Source organism: Homo sapiens, chromosome 4 (genome assembly GCF_000001405.40).
Source record: "Homo sapiens chromosome 4, GRCh38.p14 Primary Assembly".
NCBI lineage: Eukaryota > Metazoa > Chordata > Mammalia > Primates > Hominidae > Homo > Homo sapiens.
Window position 1 is genome coordinate 75,778,876 of NC_000004.12, and position 23,507 is coordinate 75,802,382.

Genomic DNA, 23,507 nt, shown 5'->3' on the forward strand with positions numbered 1-23,507 from the left:
ATACATTATTTCATTGTATTTCCCAGGGAATATGTTTTTTACCAGCTGAAGGCTTGTGTCAACCCTGCATTGAATAAGTCTGTTGACTCCATTTATCCAACAGCACGCCCTCACTTCATGTCTCTGTCACAATTAATATTTCAAAAGTTTCATTATTATATCTGTTATGGTGATGTGATCAGTGATTTTTGATGTTACTATTGTAATTGTTTTGGGGTACCACAAACAGTGCCCATATAAGAGGGCAAACTTAAGCAAAAATGTTTTATGCATTCTGACAGCTCCACAGACTGGCCCATCCTCTCTCTCTCCCACTCTGTCTTCCCCTCTTCCCCTCCCTCCCTCGGGCCTCCCTATTCCCTGAGACATAACAATATTGAAATCAGGCAAATTAATAACCCTACAGTGGCCTCTAAGTGTTCAAGTGAAAGAAGAGTTGTATATCTCTCACTTTTAATCAAAAGCTAGAAATGATTAAGCTTTCTCTGCTGAAGATACAGAGGAAGGCATGTTAAAAGCTGAGGCCAAAAGCTAGGCCCAATAGCCAAGTTGTGAATGCAAAGGAAACGTTCTTAAGAAAATTAAAAGTTCTACAGCAGTGAACACATGAATAATTAGAAAGCAAAACAGCCTTATTGCTGATATAGAGAAAGTTTTAGTTGTCCAGATTGAAAATGAAACCAGCCACAACACTTCATTAAGCCAAGCGTAATCCAGAGTGACGCCCTGACTCTTCAATTCTGTGAAGACTGAGAGAGGTGAACAAGCTGCACAAGGAAAGTTGGAAGAATGGATATTGTGCATGAAAGTAGCAGATGTTGCTGCGTGAGATCTAAGGAAAGAAGCTGTCTCCCTAACAAAAGTACAAGGTGAAACAGCAAGTGCTGATGTAGAAACTGCAGCAAGTGTATCCAGAAGATTTAGTTAAGATAATTGATGAATTATGCTAAATGTTCAGCATAGACAAAACAGCCTTCTATTGGAAGAAGATGCCATCTAGAACTTTTGTATCTAGAAAGAAGTCACCCCCTGGCTTCAGAGCTTCAAAGGACAAGCTGACTCTCTTGTTAAGAGCTAATGCACTGTTGACTTTAAGTTGAAGCCAGTGCTCACTTACCATTCTGAAAATCCTAGGACCCTTAAGAAATATACTAAATCTACTCTGTCTGCCCTCTATAAATGGACAACAAAGCCTGGAAGACAGCACATCTATGTAATAGCATGATTTACTGAGCACACATTTACTGAACACACATCTCTTACACTTCTGTGTAAGAGCATGGTTTTCTAGGCCCAGTGCATTAGAAAAAACGATTTTCAAAATATTACTTCTCATTGACAATGCACCTGATCACGCAAGAGCTCTGATGGAGATGTAAAAAGAGAATAATACTGTTTTCTTTTTTTTTGAGATGGAGTCTCGCACTGTCACTTGGGCTGGTGTGTAGTGGTGTGATCTCGGCTCACTGCCACCTCTGCCTCCTAGGTTCAAGCAATTCTCCTGCCTCAGCCTCCTGAGTAGCTAACATTACAGGCACCCACTACTGTGCCCGGCTAATTTTTTGTATTTTTTTTTTTAGTAGAGATGGGGCTTCACTATGTTGGCCAGGCTGATCTTGAACTCCTGACCTCATGATTCGCCCACGTGGCCTCCCAAAGTGCTGGGATTACAGACGTGAGCCACTGTGCCCAGCCAATAATATTGTTTTCATACTGTTAACACAACATGCATTTTGCAGCCCATGGATCAAGGATAAATTTTGACTTTTTTTTTTTTTTTTTTTTTTTTTGAGATGGAGTCTCACTCTGTCCCCCAGGCTGGAATGCAGTGGTACAATCTCGGCTCATTGCAGCCTCTGCCTCCCAGGTTCAAGCAATTCTCGTACCTCAGCCTCGTGAGTAGCTGGGATTACAGGTATGCACCACCATGCCCAGCTAATTTTTGTAATTTATTAGAGACAGGGTTTCACCATGTTGGCCAGGCTGGCCTTGAACTCCTGACCTCAAGTGATCCATCCACCTCAGCCTCCCAAAGTGCTGGGATTACAGGTGTGAGTCACTGCACCCAGCAATTTTGACTTTCAAGTCTTAATATTTAAGAAATACATTTCATAAGGCTATAGCTACATAGATAGTGATTTCTGTAACGCATCTGGGCAAAGTAAATTGAAAACTTTCTGGAAACGATTTGCCATTCTAGATACCATTAAGAACATTTGTAATTCATGGGAAGTCAAAATACCAAGATTTACAGGAGTTTGGAAGAAGTTGATTCCGGCAACCCTCATGGATGACTTGGAGGGGTTCAAGACTTTAGTGGAGGAACCAACTGAAGATGTGGTATAAATAACAGGAGAATTAGAAGTGGAGCCTGAAAATGTGATTGAATTTTTGCAATCTCATGATCAAACTTCAACAGATGAGGGGTTATTACTTATGGATGAGCAAAGAAGGTGGTGAAGATGCTGTGAACATTGGTGAAATGACAACAAAGGATTTAGAATATTACATCAACTTAGTTGATAAAGCAGTGTCAGGGTTTGAGAGAATTGACTCCAGTTTTGAAAGAATTTCTACTGGAAGTAAAATGACTCACTGAAGACTCAGGTGGTCATTAGCATTTTTTTAGCAATGAAATATTTTTAAATTAAGTTATGTACATTCTTTGGACATGATGCTATTGCACACTTAATAAATTACATTATAGTGTAAATGTAACTTTTGTATACACTAAGAAACCAAAAAATTTGTGGGACTGACTTGATTGTGATACTTGCTTTATTGCAGAAGTCTAGAACCAATAAGTAGATGTCTGTGTAGAGAAACTCTATTTGTACTTACTTTTTCTATAAGCCTAAAACTGCTCTAAAAAATGATGTCTTTTTAAAAAAAAAATAATTTATTTTTGTCAACATACAGCTCAACTATTAGGAATAAAAGTGTTGATGTACCAGATGAGCTTACTTGTCGTTACGTACAGCATCCAGCATCAGTCAATATGTTTATCAGAAGAAACGGAGGCTATTGGTTAATCTATTAGTACTTGGTAAAGTAGAGATCAATTGGAGAGTTTTCACTGTGATAATAGTGAAAGCTGTAGTGTGGATGAAACTGCCCTGGAGAGTATATGCTGTAAACAAAGAAGAAAAAGGATAAAACCATGGAGGACAGAAACAATGAAAGATTGAGCACCTGCAGAGCTGTAAGGAAAATCAAGAGAGCATAATGTTTTAGAAATCAAGGGAAGTTTCAAGGAAGAGACAAACCGACAATGTTAAGAGCTTCTTAGAGATCAAATAAGATATGGTTGATTCATTCAACAAATGTTTAATAGTTAAGTACTGTGTATATACATGATATCATGTCTCTGTCTCTGCTAAAGATACAGAGGTAAGTAGACTGTTCACAAGCGTTTGTGAATTATAATCTAGTGGAGAAGACAAACACTACCTAATAATAAAAGGAGAAGGCTACTGTAAGAGCATGTAGCTGGTGACGCTAACCTAGTCCTGTAGTCTTGGTAATCATTCCTGAAGAAATGATGTTTAAGCTGGGATTTGAAGATAAACAATGAGTTACTAAGGCGATTGGTTACTTGACATAGAAGTCAAGAGATCTTTGGGGTACCTGAGAAAGAGCATGCAGGTTATGGCCTGTGGCCATCAGGTGTCAGAGCAGACTGTCTATCTGCCTGGCCATATTGAAGAGATGCTGAGCATGGAGATTTATCTTTTTAAAAATGTTTGGGAGTTTTGCGTCAGGTTTTACGAGCCTTAACGCTTGTGTTTTACATTATTTCCCCAGGTATAGTAGTTGAAGATTGTTTGATTTTGCTCCAAAACTTATTAAAAAACAACAACTCCAATCAAAATTTTTTTAAAGAAGGCTCATATATTCAACGTATGAAACCTTGGTTTGAAGTTGGAGATGAAAATTCTGGCTGGTCTGCACAGAAAGTGACCAATCTACATCTAATGCTACAGGTATACTATCCTTAGACATAAATGTGGTAAGAATTTTGACAGTGATCTTTTCAAAGAGAAGAAAATCGCTTGTATTTGATAAATCCAGAATATTTGATGGATTTCAGGTTGGCTTAAAAAAACTGTAATATGGAAATTTGCAGTTATCCTCTAGCTAGAGATCTTGCCTACCCATTACTTAGCTTTGACAGTTATTAACATCTGGCAATTTTGTTTCATCGTTTATTCCTCTCTGCTGTATGATTTTAAAGCAAATTCAGACATACAGTTTCCTGATGGGTTTTACATTAAGGAATAATAGGTTACATTGTTGATTTGAATTTTTAAAAACCTGCTTTCTTCACTTAGGGCTCTAATAGGATAAATTTTAATATTCAAACTATTAAGTTCAAATAAATTCATTCAGTAAGCATTTACTGAGAGCCAGGCACTGGATGCTAGGAAATAAATGATCATGTCCTGCCCCCAAAGATGATTAGTCTGAGTTTTAAGTCCAAAACATGTTAAATTGACAGACCACCTGTGATTTATTGATCCTTTATGGTGAAAGCTTAGTGGTAATAATAAAAGTGAGGACAGTAGGATCCCAAATTATTTCCTCATCAGAGAAAATTTTGAAGTTCTTTGAAGTAGTCTACTTACTCCTTTATTGAATCCTCCTTCTCCAAACTGTTAAGTTTATACTAGTCTCCTTACTTATGAACTCATAATTCTTGTGGGCCTTTGAATGTCTCTGAATTATACCTGTGTTTCTCGGAAGTTGTGGACCTAACTAGATGGTTAGGTCCGCTAGTAATTAGAGGCTGAATGTTGTCCCATGCCATGGGAGTTGCCTGCATAGGACTGATAATTAGGGTAATCTGTGTCCCAGTTTGCCAGTACATTACTCGTTTTGTAATTACTAATAGCATCCTCTTTCACTTCAAAAGTGTCCTGGTTTGGATTATAAATTATGCAGTTACCCTAGTTAGAATATGCCTAAAAACTGTTACAAAAGTATTTACCAGGAGAACTTAGTTACAGAGTCTATTTGTACTCCCAACTCATCATTTCTGTTTTCAAATGTTGGTATTATACATTTAAGAAGTTAATAGTTTTTTAATGTTTTAGAAACAGTGTCACCAAGTGGTAACCTTGATACCTTTGTTCAAAACTGCTTTATTTTGTTTTGTTTTGTTTAAGAGACAGGTTCTTACTTAGTTGCCTAGGCTGAGTGCAGTGGTGTCTTCACAGCTTATTGCAGCCTCAACCTCCCTGGCTCAAGAAATCCCCCCACCTCAGCATCCTGAATAGCTGGGACTACAGGCGCAAGCCACCAGACCTGACTGGATTTTTTATTTTTAGTAGACATGAGGTCTCACTGTATTGCCAGGCTGGTCAGGAATTCCTGAGCTCAAGCAATTCTCCTGCCTCAGCTTCCCAAAGTGCTGCTGTTATAGGTGTGAGCCACATGCCCGGCCTACACTGCTTTCTTAAATAAGGAAATTCCTCTAGAAAAGTAATTTCCAAAATGTGATTAGAGAGGGTGAGAGAATCTGATGATATAAAAAAGCATGTATTTCGTATCAAACAGTGAAAATTTAAATTGTTTGAGGAAGCTACACATGTTTTATGGTTTAGGGTACTATGTAAAGAATTATTCTGAAGGAAGTGTCACTGTTAAAAAGTAAAGTAGGTCAGGTGTGGTGACTCACACCTATGATCCCAGCACTTGGGGAGCCCAAGGCAGGTGGGGATCACTTGAGCTTAGGAGTTTGAGACCAACCTAGGCAACATGGTCTTTATCAGCCCGGTGTGGTGGTGTCCACCTATTGTCCCAACTACTCAGGAGGCTGAAGGGGAGGATCACTTAAGCCCAGGAGGTTGAGGCTGCATTGAACCATAATCACGCCACGCACTCCAGCCTGGGAACAGAGTGAGACTCTATCTCAGGAAAAAAAAAAAAAATTACCAAAAAATTATTAGAGTACAGCATGTAAACAGAAAAATACAGTATTCTCGTTATATAACAAGTTGATTCTTTAAGAATTCTTTACTTTTAAAAAGTGAATAAACTGACTTTCTGTAGCTTAGTAAAGCTTTTATCTCTTACACTTGTCGTGAAGACCGTAAACTCCAAAGCAGAGGAACTGAGTTTAATTCATTTTAATATATTCTCCACCTGCAATACTGAATAGTAGATTCACTCATGACTTTACAGGCCAGGAGTTATCTTCTGCTATTCTGTTAGAACCTGTTGGAATACTTTATGTATAACTTTATTTAGAGTTGCTTGGATTTTAAGTTCTCTATTATACACTAAATAAAAATGCATCATTGTTTTCCTGTTGGGACATACACATTCTGTGTTGGAACTATTCATCATCACAGTTATCATGATTGCATTCTGAGCTACTAAAAACAGAATTGATCTGCTTGCTGAGTTTTAATTCAAATTTTGCAGACTATATTTAGGGAAAACATCTTTTGAAAAGTTTTTTAGTTATAAAATATTTTATTTTTTTAAAAAATTATAGTTTTATGGCTAGTCTACTTTTTATCCCTGCAGGAGTCTCTTCTATGGCATTTTATTGGGAAGATACTGCCAATAGCTCCCAGAAAGTTCATAACCTTATAAGATAATCATTTTCATTCTAGGGTAGTTTTAATTATTAGAAACTTTATATATTAAGTCATAAACTGTCCTGATATGACTTCTGTAAATTTACTTTTGCTTTCTGGAATGACACATGTTCATTCCTTGTGAATATTTCATATATTTACATGTTGCTATTAGATCTCTTTTTATCCTCATAAATATTCCCTTTTTCTTTATTTACATCATCAGTAAAGACACTCAACTGCTATTAGAGGATAGTAGAAAATTACTGTTGATTTTGTCCATTGTAATAATGGTATGATTATATTTCAAAAAATATCAAGTGGAGATGCATACAGAATTATTTGTGGTACAATTGACATATTGCGTAGTATTTGTTTTAAATACTCAAAAAAAGAAGGAAAAGAAGTAGTAAGGATAGGAGGGAAATAAATTAAGGGAGGAAAAAACACCAGAAATCTCACTAGAAAAGTCCAAGGACAGGAACCAATGTAATCCTGACCTTCTCTTTAGTGACATCAATTTATTAATGAACCCTCTTTGAGATGTCTGTTAAGCCAGACATGGAAACATCTAAATCTGTTTTGTCATTACTCACTGAGTTAACTACTGGTTGAAGTTTTTCTCTAATTCTAGTGATTTCTGGTTACCTTTTTATTCACCAACAATAAAAAGTACCACTTTTCAAACTTTTTTTTGTTTTAGTATTTAACTCCTCCCTCACAAAAAATCCCCTTTCTTAGTGGAGTCAATCCATAGATCACAATATGTGTCGGCTGTAGTAATACAAGTGTTTTAGTTTACTCTCTTAAATCATTGATTACTTCTGTGTATCTCCTATAAAATAATGGTTAATGTTTGTATAGCACTTTGTTGTTAACAAGGTATTATCATAAATACCCCCATTTGATCTTGATTTAGAAGATTTTGCACATATATATACACATAACTCTAGTTTTAAAATGTGACACACATGTAAAATGAATTTGGAGACATAACTGTGTTAAATAGTTATTTGAGATGACTTTTTTCATGTTTCTGAAATTTTATGTTTACAGTCCAAGTAATCATAGAATCATAGGGATTTAATTGGCATTAGCAATCAATGCAGCCCACCCCATGCCTAATACATGAATCTTTTACCATCTCTCCAGTTTTGGTTTTAGCCTCTCTTTAAATATTTCCAGTTTAGGGGAGATTTATCACACATCAGGTCATTCTGTTTTCAGACCTGCTCTCTTACTAGGTAGTTCATTATTAACTTTGAAAAGAAATCTGCCACTCTGTAACTTATTCATTCATTTACTTATTAAATATGTACTGTTACAAGTACTATGCTTCTTTGGGAAACAAAAATGACCAAGGCAGTTTCTCTCTGGGAGTTCACAGTCACCTGAAGAAGACAACCTTAAGTTTAAGAGGCATAATGTAATATTACTATCACAGAACTTATTGCCATGGGAGCACGAAAGAAAGAGCACCTAAATGTAGCTAAGCAGCTAAGGGAGTACTTCATGCAGACTTTCTTGTTCACATAGATCAGATTTGCCTCAAGCCTTTTCAAATCTTTAAAAGACAAATTTTGTTTTCTCTTTCTTTCACAGCTTGTTCGTGTATTGGTATCTCCCACCAACCCTCCTGGTGCTACCAGTAGCTGCCAGAAGGCTATGTTCCAGTGTGGGTTATTGCAGCAGCTTTGTACTATCCTAATGGCTACTGGGGTTCCTGCTGATATCCTGACTGAGGTAAAGCAAATGAAGTCAAAGCCAACTCTGTGGAAGTTGAAATCCTGAATCCTAGGAAGAATTAGATATTTGTTGAAGGAAAAACTACAATAGTTAACCATTTTTTAGGTTAAAATTTTTAATGATCTTACTAAAATATAATTCACATAATGATAAAAGTATTGATTCCAAAAGATATACTCATCCCTCAAGTTTTATAGTACATAAATAATAATGTTAAAGCTTTGCAGATCCATCTACAAAGATTTCTCATTAATTTTGTTATATTCAACAGGAGTGCACAGTATGATTTCGTTTTTATTTTGAGAACAAAGTGACTTAGTCTTACTCAACCGGCAGATTCATTGAATAGTAAATTCTTTTCCCCTAATGTGTGGCATTCTCTGTTGCTTACCTATAAGAAAAAGAAGTTAGTTTGAAGAAAAAAAGTTTGTTTATATTTTTAAAATTTTTCTCAAATTAACACGTGCAATATCGAAAGTACAAATAATAAAAATTTTATAACAAAAATAACTGCCTTCAGCCTCAATTGTCCTTACTGTAAGTCCCACTTTACTTCCTCATGTCACCTCATAATTATTTTATGGAATTTATATTTAAATCAGTAGTTGGGGTTTATATTTTTACAGCTGTATTGATACCATTCCTGCTAAGCCAAATAGAGTCCTATATCCTTTTTTAAATATATATTTTTCTCATCCATGAGTTGTAATTGTGTTCTTCATTTTACTGTTACTCTATATATGCATAGGTATATATGCTTAATAATCATATACTTAACACTTTGTTTCCCACCACAGGCCACCTGCAGACCCTCCATTCTCCTACTCCAATCTGTGCTCTAATTCTTCCCCATGTCTCTTGTCCTGGGAATTTTTTTTGCCATCTTCCTAGGATTTCCTTTACTTGTCTCCTGACTTGGCTTCCTTGATTATCTGGATCCTATATCTTTATTTATTTATTTATTTATTTTTTTTTTTTTTTGTACAGAGTCTCAGTCTGTTGCCCAGGCTGTAGTACAGTGGCATGATCTCAGCTCACTGCAACCCCCGCCTTCCGGGTTCGAGCAATTCTCCTACCTCAGCCTCCTGAGTAGCTGGGATTACAGGCACCCGCCACCATGCCCGGCTAATTTTTGTAATTTTAGTAGAGACAGGGTCTCACCATGTTGGCCAAGCTGGTCTCGAACTCCTGACCTCAAATGATCCACCCATCTTGGCCTCCCGAAATGTTGGAATTACAGACAGGAGCCAATGCTCCTGGCCTGGATCACATATCTTTTTCCTCTATCCCTTGGTTCATTAACTTTATTTTTCTTAATTTTCTTTTCTTTTCTTTTCTTTTCTTTTTTTTTTTTGAGATGGAGTTTCGCTCTTGTTGCCCAGGCTGGAGTGCAATGGCATGATCTCGGCTCACTGCAACCTCCGCTTCCTGGGTTTGAGCAATTCTTCTGCCTCAGCCTCCAGAGTAGCTGGGATTACAGGCGACTGCCACCATGCCCAGCTAATTTTTTGTATTTTTAGTAGAGACGGGGTTCCACCACATTGGCCAGGCTCTTGACCTCAAGTGATCCGCCCACCTCAGCCTCGTGAAGTGCTAGGATTACAGGCGTGAGCCACTGCACCCGGCCGTTATTTGTCTTAATTTTCTAAAAAAAAGAATAAGTAACGAGAAATTTTTTTATTTTTTGCTCTTTCATGTCTGAAAATGTCATTTCTCTACTTTCAGAATTAATTTAATGTTTGGCTAGATATGGAATTCAGGGTTGGAAATCACTAATACTCAACTTTCCAAACATCATTCCAGTGTTGCTATTAGGAAGTTTGAAGTTTGAAGCCATTATAATCCTCCTTTTTTTTTTATTGTAATCTTTTTCTCTCTAGAAACTTTTGAGATCTGTTATTTTTGATTTTCTGAAATTTACTGATGATGTGCTGAACTGTGGACCTTTTCCCCACTCCCTTGCTCCCCAGTTATTATCATCATTCACTGAGCACTTTCAGCTGGAAATATACATCCTTCAGTTCTGAGGATGTTTTTGGCATTGCCTGATAATTTTCTCTTTTCTGTTTTGTGTTGCTGTTGTTGTTGTTTTGAGGCAGTCTTGCTCTATTTCCCAGGCTGGAGTGCAGTGGCACTATTTCGGCTTACTTCAACCTCCACCTTCTGGGTTCAAGCAATTCTCCTGCCTTAGCCTCACAAGTAATGGGGATTATAGGCACACCACCTTACCCAGCTAATTTTGTATTTGTAGTAGAGACAGGGTTTCACCATGTTGGTCAGGCTGGTCTCAAACTCCTGACCCCAAGTGTTCCACCCACCTGGGCCTCCCAAAGTGCTGGGATTACAAGCATGAGTCACCACGCCTGGCCTCTTTTCTGTTCTCTTTCTGCAATTCCATTAGTAGACTTTCTGGGTAATTTGTCTTTTTAAAAATTAATTTTTAATTAACAAAAATGGTATATATTTATCTTGTATAACATGTTTTGAAATAGTCTTTTTATTTTTTAACTTTATCCTTAAATTGAATTTTTTAACTCTTTAAATTTGTTCTTTGATTATTATTTTAAAACCTTTTTCTGTTTTTATAAAATATTTTATCTCATAGAGAATAGTATAGTTTTTGAGATTTAAAATGCCTGTCAAGTGTTATTTTATTGGAGACCCATGCTTAATGCTTTAAAATTTTCCCTTGAGGAAGTGTTACAAGATTATAATGTTATCATTGATGTTTTTGTGCCTGAATTTTGGCACTTAAAAAGTGGGATATAAGATTTTTTTTCATGTATACATATGTAACTAACCTGCACAATGTGCACATGTACCCTAAAACTTAAAGTATAATAAAAAAAAAAACAAAAAAAAAAGATTTTTTTTCTATTGAAAACATATTTTCCTTCTTGACTTAATTTCTCTAAATGTTCTTTTTCTTTCTTCCCCTTAACAGACCATAAATACTGTATCAGAAGTTATTCGAGGCTGCCAAGTAAACCAAGACTACTTTGCATCTGTAAATGCACCTTCAAACCCACCAAGGTAGAAAAAGGGAAATACTGAGATTACTCTGAGGAAGTAAAAACTTTGGGTTGTTAATGTATCTCATATACACATCTTACTCTTTTTAAAGAAGTTTAGTTGTATGTTTTGGAACTAGAAATTATCTGACAAGATAAATGATATTGATATTTTAAAAGAGTTGGTAGTCTTTGGAATTTAGATACTTAGATTCAGATATCATGTCGTCCACATCCTAGCTGTATGCCTTAAGCAAGCAGTCACTTCACTTCTGTCAGTTACAGTTTTCTGTGAAATAGAGATGGAAATACTTAACTTGCTGGTGTTCTGGTTATGATTCTTCAATCAACAAAAATGACTAGTTATTGACTTGTATACTTGGGTTGCAATGTTTCATTTTGTTCTTTTCTTTTTAAATGCAACAGACCGGCAATTGTAGTACTTCTCATGTCCATGGTTAATGAAAGGCAGCCATTTGTTTTGCGCTGTGCTGTTCTCTATTGTTTCCAGTGTTTCTTGTATAAAAACCAAAAAGGACAAGGAGAAATCGTGTCAACACTTTTACCTTCTACCATTGATGGTAAATAATTTAGTTCTAATTTTTATTTGAAAAAGTAAATCATTGTCTTCCAAGCTTTTAATTGATTCTTTCTTTTTATGCTTTAGCCTAAAATACTTTGCATGCTTAGGAGAGAAAAAAAAAAAACAAAAACACCTGAATTCTAAGGCCTGCAGGTAAATTTAGACAACAGGCTTTGGAGTCAGACCAGAGTTTGCATTGCAGAATTTTCACTTTTGCTGTATAACTTCTGCCGTATAACTTTTTAACTTGAGCCTCACTGAGTTATGGGGGATAATAATACTCATCTCTATGTGGGGTTAATACCCCATTAGGAACATTGTGAGGATTAATGCAGTTACATGCATTACATTACATAAAGTACTCACGCCAAAACTTAGCATGTATAGATGCCAGTAAACAGAATCTACTGTTAATTATAATTGTCATTCTAAAGATGAATTTTGCCAGGTGCGGTGGCTCACGCCCGTAATCCCAACATTTTGGGAGGCCAAGGCGGGCAGATAACCTAAGACCAGGAGTTCGAGACCAGCCTAGCCAACATGGTGAAACCCCGTCTCTACTAAAAATACAAAAATTAGCTGGGCGTGGTGGCAGGTGCCTTTAATCCCAGCTACTCAGGAGGCTGAGGCAGGAGAATCGCTCAAATCCTGGAGGCAGAGGTTGCAGTGAGCTGAGATTGTGCCACTGCACTCCAGCCTGGGCAACAGAGAGAGACTGTGCCTCAAAAATAAAAATTAAGAAAAAGAAGATGAATTTTACCATTAAATCACATTTAACTTTCAGTCTGTTGTTCTAGTATAGGTTAGAGTCATTACCCTTTTTATGGGGTCTTTAAATATTTCATCTTACCTAAGATAAATTTTTTAAATGTTTACCTTTGTTAACTTTTAAACTTCAAGAGCAGTTTCATAAAGGTAATTGGAAACATCAATAAAACTCATTTTAATTACATACATTGAGGTTTTTTGTTAGAATTTAAGTCTGTTTAATTATATTTACCAAAAAAAAATTTGGTAAAAAATTACCATAAAAAATTATTGATCATTAATGAAAATAAGACCCTGATGTAGTAGAATGATCAAAATGTGGCATTTCCTTAAGTTTGTTTTAGAAATGTTGTTTTTAATTAAGGTAATTTTTTGGAATGTTACCATCATCAGTTTAATGCCGAAAATACTGTAATACAAGTTGAGCATCCCAAATCTGAAATCTGAAATGCTTCTTTTTTTTTTTTTTTTAACATTCCTTCAAACATTTAGCCTTTGTGTTTCAAATAATCTAATTGTACTCATTAAGTAATTTTGAAATGTATACTTAAGCCAGGCGTGGTGGCTTACACCTGCAATTCCAGCATTTTGGGAGGCCAAGGCAGGTATATTGCTTGAGTATAGGAGTTCAAGAACAGCTTGGGCAACATAGTGAAACCCCATCTCTACTAAAAATACAAAAATTTAGGCTGGGCTTGGTGGCTCACTCCTGTAATCCCAGCACTTTGGGAGGCCAAGGCGGGTGGATCACCTGAAGGTAGGAGTTCAAGACCAGCCTGGCGAACATGGTGAAAACCCATCTCTATTAAAAATACAAAAATTATCCGGGCATGGTGATGCATGCCTGTAATCCCAGCTATGGGGGAGACTGAGGCAGGAGAATCGCTTGAACTTGGGAGGCGGAGGTTGCAGTGAACTGAGATCACGCCATTGCACTCCAGCCTGGGCAACAAGAGTGAGACTCTATCTCAAAAAAAATACTAGCCAGGCATGGTGGCACACACCGGTAGTCCTAGCTACATGGGAGGCTGAGGTGCGAGAATCACCTGAGCCTGGGAGGTCGAGGCTGCAGTGAACTGAAATTGCACCACTGCACTCCAGTCTGGGCAAACAGTGAGACCCTGTCTCCAAAAAAAAACAAAAAATAAAATATACACTTATTTTTTATTATAGTCACCCTGTTGTGCAATCAAATGGTATATCTTATTCATTCTTTCTAACAATATTTTTGTACTCATTATCCCCATCTTCCCTCTAACTTCCCACTACCCTGCCCTGCCTCTGATAACCACCTTTCTAATCTCTGTGTCCATGAATTCCCACAAATTTTTAGATCCCACAAATAAAGGCAAATAAATTTTACCTTCTACCATTGATGATAAATAATTTAGTTCTGATTTTTATTTGTTCTCACAAGTAAGTGAGAACAAATGTTAGTCTTTACATACCTGGCTTATTTCACTTAATATAATGATCTCCAGGTTCATCTGTGTTGTTGTAAATGACTAGATCTCATTGTTTTGTATGGCTGAATAGTACTCCATTGTGTGTATATACCACATTTTCTTTCTGAAATACTTCTGGTCCCAAGCATTTTGGATAAGGGATACTCAACCTATGTTTCTTTTCTCTCTCTCCTTTTTTTTTTTTTTTTTTTTTTTGAAGATAAGGTATCACTCTTGTCCAGGTTGGAGTGCAGTGGCGCAGTCCATAGCTCACTGCAGCCTCAAACTCCTGGGCTCAAGTGATCCTCAGGCCTTAGCCTCCCGAGTAGCTGGGACTGCAGGCATGCACCACCAACTCCTGGCCTCAAGGGATCCTCCCACCTCAGCCTTCCAAAGTGCGAGAATTACAGGCGTGAGCCACCATGCCCAGCCTCCACCTGTATTTCTTTGTTCTATTACTTTTCTTCCAAGATAACTTTCTCTCATTGTTCATTTTGCTTTGAAAAGCAGACTTTTATCATTTTGAAAGTATATTTAATACTACTCATTAATACATGTTTAATGATTATATTTAATGGTATTTCACACTATTTTATGTGTACAGAAAACAATTTATTTAAAATTTGGTTTACGTCAAAATCTAATATATTTTTATTGTCTGCCTGCCATCTTTGTAGCAACAGGTAATTCAGTTTCAGCTGGCCAGTTATTATGTGGAGGTTTGTTTTCTACTGATTCACTTTCAAACTGGTGTGCTGCTGTGGCCCTTGCCCATGCGTTGCAAGAAAATGCCACCCAGAAAGAACAGTTGCTCAGGGTTCAACTTGCTACAAGTATTGGCAACCCTCCAGTTTCTTTACTTCAACAGTGCACCAATATTCTTTCACAGGTAAAGTTTTGCATAAGGGAAAAAGTTCTATACATTTTGATGTCAGTGATACAGGATTTAAGGATGTCTTTAGAAGATGCAGATGAAAAAGGACAGAGAAGACTTATTCTGTTTATTAGTTCATCATAATCAGAAACAGTTTTGTGGAGAAAAAGCAATAAATACTCTTAGAGGAATAGTTTTGCTAAATAGTTATAAGGTCTGCATCATGATGAAAATACATGTTCTGGGCAGAAAGGTATTTTGAGGGTTTTGTCTTGTTTTTAAATTATCCACAGTGTTCTTGCATGTCATTTTTCTCTTTCTTCTCAGTAACTGAATTCAGGTTAGTTTATGGGAGGGAGTAAAGTAGTTCATAGCTGTGTATTTCCCTCTTTCTCTTCCCAAAGCAATTGATCATCTAGAAACAATGGAACAGTGGTCCCTTGTATATATAGTTATACAGTATATCCCCTTGAAGTTTGTGAGTTCTTCAATCCTTAAGTCCCCGGTGCATATAATTTACCTAGTAAGATGGAGGAAAACATAACAAAAAATTTTTGCATGTCTTAGACTCCTAATGAGAACAACAAAGCTTTATTGAAGTGTAGTTGCTAGGCATTTAGGAATGTCACTTTTTGTTATGTGATTTCCCCACATGTACCAGCCTTGCTATTGAACAGTTCAAGTTCATGCTTTAGCAAAACTCTAAAGTCATTGACGTTTAGAGTCACTCAGGGAAAGTAAAAATGTGACTAAATCTAAAATTGTTCTGTACACTGCTCTAGCAGTAGTTATCCTACCCACTCCCCATAATAATGTGGTTGTGTCCTTCTTTAGTTTTAATCCTGCCACACTCGTTGAATTTTTCCTTATTTTGAGCTTTTAAAGAAACATTAGCTCCATCCATAGAAATTATAAATGAAAGCTTAAAAAGTAACTATAGTGAAAAGGAAGTTGAAGTTTAAAATTGGTTTACTTTAATTGAAAGCTTATTTTGTCTTTATCACTTATCTCTTAGAGATTAAAAAAACTATCCCAAATTTTTATGTCTTTACTTATTACTTGGCATTCTCATGTTGCTATCTGTTAACAACAGTTTTATTTTAAAGCCAAACAGTAATTATCTCTCTCATCACCATCACCACAGACTTCACTTTAACATTGAAATTACAATGAATGCCTGATGAGAAGTGCTAAAGATGGTGGTGTCTTCCCCACTCTTAAGTAATCACAGTGCTATAAAATTATCCTTTATCTTCTAAAATATATAGCCTCTAAATGTATCCTCTAACTTTTTATTGTATAAAAGAAGTATCATTAGAACCATCCTGTCCCAAATTATTGGCTTGAGTTTGTAGAGAGACTATGAAAAAGTATTTGAGGGATTTTTCCAGATTTAGACTTTTCTAAAGTAGTAATATGTATGAATAATTTGTAATGTATAATTTGCAGGGTGATAAGATCGACAGACGGGTATGTATCACTTGATTAAGCTTAGGCATTTTCCTCTTATAGCAAAGCTTTTTCTCTGTCTTGGGTTTTGCTGATTGGTTTTTTTTTAACTGCTTGTTTGAAGTTACATTCTACTCACACTTTTGCGTGTCAGCCAATTTATTTCTATTGTAAATGGCTCTCCAGTTTTTCTCCATGGGATATTGTATTGGTGTTACTAAACACTGTGGGAATGAGAATCTGAATCTATACTTGTGCTTCTTCTGGGGATGCTTGCACTTTCTGGATTTCCTTGGTTTCGGTTTTTTGTGTTTTTTCTCCAAGCTTGCCTATTTATTTCCTCTGAAGCCATTTCAAAGGAAGTAGAATTCAGGATTAAGAATTTTGTCTTTAATTAATCAGCATATGAAAGAATCTGATGATGATTTTTATACTAGATTATTTAAAATGTGCAATAGTAAGTATAATTTTATAATTTGAAATATTTTAAATGAAATATTATGGATTATTCTGAATATAATCCATATGCTACAGCTACCACTGAGGATTCGTTTTTGTTGTGTGTGGGGAAAGTGCTATTTTTGTTTTGTTTTGTTTTGTTTTGTTTTGTTTTGTGTGAGTATTTGGCAGAAAAGGAGTGTACCTTAATATCTATGTTTGGGCATGGGTTTCAGTTGAATAATGTGGGTAGTAATAAATGAGGTCCTGTTATGAATTGTATCTTTGTGTATGAGCATGATTTAACATGTGTCATTAACTTACACACACACATACATATTTTGCAGCTTTAGCCTGCAGAATTTTATATTAGGGAAAGTATTTTATAAGTATACATGTCAGTCATTTGAAAGGGAATTTTTTTTGAGGTATTAATTTATATACAATAAAATGCACAGACCTTCTGTGTTTCATGTGATGATTTTTGGTGTTTGAGTGTATCTCTGTAACCACCACCCAAAACTAGATGTAGAACGTTTTCATAATCCCAGAAAGTTCCATCATGCTCTTTTTTTTTTTTGAGACGGAGTCTCACTCCGTTGCCCAGACTGGAGTGCAATGGCACGATCTTGGCTCACCGCAACCTCTGCCTTCTGGGTTCAAGCGATTCTCCTGCCTCAGCCTCCTGAGTAGCTGGGATTACAGGTGCGCACCACCACACCCAGCGAATTTTTGTATTTTTAGTAGAGACAGGGTTTCATCATGTTGGCCAGGCTGGTCTCGAACTCCTGATGATCGCAGGTGATCCACCCACCTGGCCTCCCAAAGTGCTGGGATTACAGGTGTGAGACACCGCGCCCAGCCCGCAGCTTCAAATATTTTGTTTGTAGTTCTCTTTTATCGTGTAAAATCTGTGGTTTATAATTACCCCCGAGAATGCTCTCAAATTACAGTTTTAGCCTCCATTTGTTTTCTCAAATCTCCTCAATGGTTCACACACTCTAGGGGCTCTGAAAAGAGGTGTGTACTTTTCCTTTTATTTATATCCTCTGCCCATTTTATATTAACATACTTAACCCTTGTTTTTAATATGAGTTACAGATTTTTTTTTTTTTTTCTGGTATGTCATTTGTCTTTTGACCTTGGTGTTTTGTTATGGATTTTTTTTTTTCTCAGACTTATCTTTTATGGCTTCTGCATTTTAAGTCATACTTAGAAAAGGCCTTTCCATGTTCAGATTTTAAGGAATTTACTAGGCCAGGCATGGTAGCTCACACCTATATGTTAACACTTTGGAAGCTGAGGTGGGGGCATCGCTTGAGCTTTGGAGTTCAAGGCTGCAGTGAGCTATGATTGCTGCACTCCAGCCTGATAGACAGAGCGAGACCTGGTCTCCAATCCCCCCAAAAAAGACTTTATAAGGAATTATACTTCAATGTTTATCTTATACTTTCTGGTTTCTTTTTTTTTCATTTAATTCTTTGTTCTGTTTTTCTCAGCGAACTGTATGAGATACAGATCCACTGATCTTTTTCTAGATAGCTCTCCAGTTGTCCCAAAATCTTTTAAGTCTATTTGTAACTCACTGATAGTTGTATGCTACTTTTTCATATATTAAATTCTCATTTGTATATGGGCCCATTTTTCTGGATTTTTGTATTCTGTCTCTTGATTCCTGCTTGTTCGTGATCCATTATTCTCTCTTTTTTCTTTTTTTTTACAGTGTCCCTAGTTAATCTCACTTTTTTCATATGATCTTCAGAATCATGTTGTTTTGTTCCAGAAGCAAAAAAAAAAAAAAAAGCCTTTTAGTAATTTTTATTTGAATCACATTAATTTTATTCATTTATTTATTTTTAATTTATTTTACAATTATTATTTTTTTTGAAATGGAGTCTCACTCTGTCACCCAGACTGGAGCGCAGTGTTGTGATCTCGGCTCACTGCAACCTCTACCTCCCAGATTCAAGTGATTCGCCTGCCTCAGCCTCCTGAGTAGCTGGGACTACAGGCGCGCGCCACCTCGCCTGGCTAATTTTTGTATTTTTAGTAGAGACAGTGTTTCACCATGTTCGTCAGGCTGGTCTCGAACTCTGGACCTCAGGTGATCCAACGCACCTCAGCCTCCCAAAGTGCTGGGATTACAGGCACATTAATTTTATAAATTAACTTAGAATTAACACCTTTGTGATGTTGAGTCTCCTATCTAAGAACATGGTGGCTTTCTATTGGTTTATGTCCACTTTTGTGCTCTTTAGGAGTGTTTTAAAATTTTCCTTGTTTAGATTTTATACCATTTTGATTAGGTTCACTCCTGAGTACTTTATCTTTTTTTGTCTCTGTAATAAATGGAGTGTTTCATTCTGTCTTTTAACTGGTTATATTTGACTTTGCTCTTCTTATCCTTCAATTAGACCCCAAAAGCCATGCTTTTAGAAGATTCTGATTTAAATCTTACTCTGTTTTTTTTTACTCATACATCAGCCAGTGATTTGATAGGATGTTCTTATATATACATTGTGGGTATATTTGGTACCTGCAAATGGTTATGCTAAGTAATAATGAACTTATATATAACCAGGTAGATGAACAAAACATTTGCATTTGTAACTCGAGTAGTTGTAAGTTTTCTGTGGCACATAGTCAGTTGGCAGTGACTGGTTTTTAACTTTCCAATTTACATGGATGACTTGAAGATATATTGTGGGCATGGTAATGACGTAGAGGCAAGGAAACAGTAAAAATAATGCATCATGTAAAAACTAAATTTGTATCAGTGCTTACCTGGCAAATCATTTGAAGAGGTCCTGTTTGAACTTAATTCAATATTAAATATACCTAAAAATAGATTATAGAAGAGTCAAGATATTGGCATCAAGGTTTGTGAAATTAGAATAGTCTGGGTGGTAGAAATTTTTCGGAACACAGTGATGATTACTTTAAATTCATTCCTTGTCTAGATCTTTGAATTATATTTCGGACATTTTATGAGACTTTCCCCAAAGTGATGCATTACTATTCTGATTTTCATTATTTTATTTCAAACAAGTTTTGTTTTGTTTTTTTAAAAAAAGATACAGGTTATAGGAATATAAATATGGGCACTGTCAATATTGTGAACTAAGAGAATATTCTACCTAGGAGATGTAAATGTGTTGTATTAAAATTTTGAAAACTAATTTTGCTGGATATGCTAATTTTCATTATTAACTATACTTGGCAGCTGTTAATGGTTTGGGGGCACTTGGCTAATTTAAATCTTCCTCTTGATTATGTTTGTGATTTCTCATCTGGTGTGTGATGACTGAATTTGTAGTATGGTTTATTTATTGTTAGAGAATATATTCTCTCATGGAATTTGACTAAATGATTCAGGGGATTATTTTTTGCATTTTTCTTGATTTTTTTGTTTTTTGGTTTTTTTTGAAGGAAGTAGAATTTTCCTTTTATCAGGAACTTGTTTTTAAACTTGTGACTGAAATATCATAAATTTGCTTGGCAAATTTATTGTAAAGGGTCTTGGGATTAATAGATTATTTTAAAGCCTCCACACTGATTTTTTTCCTTAGCAGACAAGGTTTTTAAACTAATCATATTTTAAATAACCCAGTATATGCCTCTGAACATGAATCAGTTCTAATTTCTGCACTCTGTTCATTTTAGGAAGTGCAGCCTGTGGTGCATACAATAATTTATTCTCTTGTTTAGTTTTTTAAAACTGGATTTCTGGCTCATCTCTTGTAAGATGTTAAAGTTCTTTTCATGCAAATGGAAGGGATCTTAGGGCAACTTTAAGTTTGAAAAATATAAAATGAATGGAAAGATTTCTACCAATTTATCTGTTGCAGGGAAGCAAAATACAAACAAGAGTTGGATTATTAATGTTGCTTTGTACCTGGCTAAGCAATTGTCCCATTGCAGTAACGCATTTTCTTCACAATTCAGCCAATGTTCCATTTGTATCCTTTATGTTTTAGTAACGTACATGTAAGTATTTATATCTTTTTTAGTTTTTCTCCTCAATTAGAAGTAGTTCTATGCCCAAAATATTTGAATTCTCCACTATCTTATCTGTGTTGCAACTTTTTAAACTGTTAAAGTTGTTATGATGCTTGTTTAAGTTGTGTGTGTGTGGTTTGTTTTATGCCGGGTTGGAATATATATATGAAATTTCTTTTTTTTTTTTTTGAAATGAAGTCTTGCTCTGTCGCCCAGGCTGGAGTGTAGTGGCGCGATCTCGGCTCACTGCAACTTCCGCCTCCCAGGTTCAAGCAATTCTCCTGCCTCACTCAGCCTCCTGAGTAGCTAGGATTACAGGTGTGCGCAACCACAACCCGGCTAATTTTGTATTTTTAGTAGAGACATGTTGGCCAGGCTGGTCTCAAACTCCTGACCTCAGGTGATCCACCCACCTTGGCCTCCCAAAGTGCTGAGATTACAGGCATGAGCCACCACACCTAGCCTATATATGGAATTTCTTATGGGAACTCTTATGTGAAGTATTAATGTATGTCAAATTCAAATTGCAAAATGTACTAGATATTTTCAATCCTTAGCCTCCTTAACAAAGATTTCAGCTTACAGGACAAATTGCAGAAAATCTTGGAGAAGAAGAGCAGTTGGTCCAAGGCTTATGTGCCCTTTTGTTGGGCATTTCGATTTATTTCAATGATAACTCACTTGAGAGCTACATGAAGTAAGTAAGGGGAAGATGGTTTTCTAATGGCATCAAGAGATAATGATGCTTTTTTTTTTTTTTTGCCAAAGCATTATGTAGACCAAGCTTTTATGTTTTGTTTTGATTTTATTTTTTTTAAAGCATCTCAATATGCTTATCTCCGTAGAGAGAAGCTAAAACAACTGATTGAGAAGAGGATTGGCAAAGAGAATTTCATAGAGAAACTAGGATTTATTAGCAAACATGAGTTGTATTCCAGAGCATCTCAGAAACCCCAGCCAAACTTTCCCAGTCCAGAATACATGATATTTGATCATGAGTTTACGAAGCTGGTAAAAGAACTTGAAGGTAAGACTGAAGATTTATATTGATATTTGATGGAAAGTAATTATATTTATATTGTACATGTATATTCTGGATGCATACAGGTTATATGGTAACTCTAAAGGTATATTTTCTTCCTAGCTCTTGATCTGTAGCCCATTGAAGGACATTTGGCTTTCAGTAGGATTGAAAAGATTATTTCTTACCTATCATGGAGTTAGGTTATATGTTTTTACTAAGTCTTAGTAGTAAAATAGTATTTAAAACATTTAAAACAAATTTTAAATAAGCTTCCTTTTATAGGTGTTATAACTAAGGCTATTTATAAGTCCAGTGAAGAAGATAAAAAAGAAGAAGAGGTGAAAAAAACATTAGAACAGCATGACAATATTGTGACTCACTACAAAAATATGATTCGAGAGCAGGTAAGTACTAATGAACTGTATATACCCTCTGATTACCAATAGGCACTTTCTGCTTTAAGGGAGCCTTTTTTTCTGACATTTCAAATGAAAGAGGATATAGAAAGCAAAACCCATCATTTTTCAAAGCATCTGAGTATTCAACAAACAGAGTGCTTAATATGTGCTAAGCACCATGCAGCTGATTTATTAGATAATGATGAGTGGATAAAGATGAAACTACAATTGCGGAATCATCAGTTGACATTTTCTTTCCAGGATACCAGTGAACTTTCATTACTTGCATTGTGTTGAGTACCCTAAACCTTCATTATATTCCTTCAAAATGTTTTCTTGACTTTTACTCTCATTTAATTTCTTATGATATTTACCTTGATTGGAATTCTAGAAAGTGCTGAAAAATGAGGTTATTAATGTTGTTAAAATTCCAGTGTCATAAAAAAATACAATAGTGGCAGACCCTGTGGGACAGATTCATCCCCTTCCCTCTACTGCTCTCCACACCTGTCTACTAATTGTGCACAGTTTATGGCAGGTGTGGCAAGTAAAAGCATAGATAGAACCCTTTAAATTGACAACTGTTTATATCTTATTTTCTTCCTCACAATCTACATTACTGAGATTAGTTTGTTTTTTGTTTAGACAGAGTCTTGCTCTTGTTTCCCAGGCTGGAGTGCAGTGGCGCAGTCTCGGCTCACTGCAACCTCCGCCTCCCAGGTTCAAGCAATTCTCTTGCCTCAGCCTCGCAAGTAGCTGGGATTATAGGCGTGTGCCACCACGCTGCCTAATTTTTATATTTTTAGTAGAGATGAGGTTTCACCATGTTGGCTGGTGTTGATCTCCTGACCTCGGGTGATCCCTTCCCTTCCCTGCCTCAGCCTTCCGAAATGCTGGGATTATAGGCATAAGCCAGCGCGCCCAGCCTACTGAGATTAAAATTTTAAGAAAGAATGAAAATATTGTGGTATATTTAGCATTCATTCTAAGCTTTTCAGTTTAAAAGTAAATCAATCAATAAATTATAATCTTAGAATGGTAAAATTTGAATCATCAAACTACCTATGGTTATTAGGATTTTTCATCTATATCTGGGTACAAAGATGGAGCCATTTCCAGTTGCTAAAATGTAATAATATCTTTGGAACAGTGAAAAAAACAAATAGTTGTAATGTGATATAGAGTCTA

General features: G+C 36.0%; 1 protein-coding gene across 4 annotated transcripts in view; it reads left to right on the top strand.

Annotated features, from left to right (window-relative positions):
• The window catches only part of USO1 (USO1 vesicle transport factor), an 89,710-nt gene that overhangs the window by 54,299 nt on the left and 11,904 nt on the right, over window positions 1-23,507 (top strand). For 2 of the 4 annotated variants that reach the window (NM_001290049.2, XM_006714396.5), the window contains 10 exons: window positions 3,805-3,983; window positions 8,187-8,327; window positions 11,275-11,363; window positions 11,768-11,922; window positions 14,815-15,026; window positions 16,461-16,481; window positions 20,747-20,857; window positions 21,476-21,594; window positions 21,743-21,924; window positions 22,204-22,325. In NM_001290049.2, the coding sequence (NP_001276978.1) occupies window positions 3,805-3,983; window positions 8,187-8,327; window positions 11,275-11,363; window positions 11,768-11,922; window positions 14,815-15,026; window positions 16,461-16,481; window positions 20,747-20,857; window positions 21,476-21,594; window positions 21,743-21,924; window positions 22,204-22,325 (1,331 nt within the window). The remainder of the gene's footprint in view (window positions 1-3,804; window positions 3,984-8,186; window positions 8,328-11,274; window positions 11,364-11,767; window positions 11,923-14,814; window positions 15,027-16,460; window positions 16,482-20,746; window positions 20,858-21,475; window positions 21,595-21,742; window positions 21,925-22,203; window positions 22,326-23,507) is intronic. The other 2 variants (XM_006714397.4, NM_003715.4) reach the window with 1 other exon arrangement.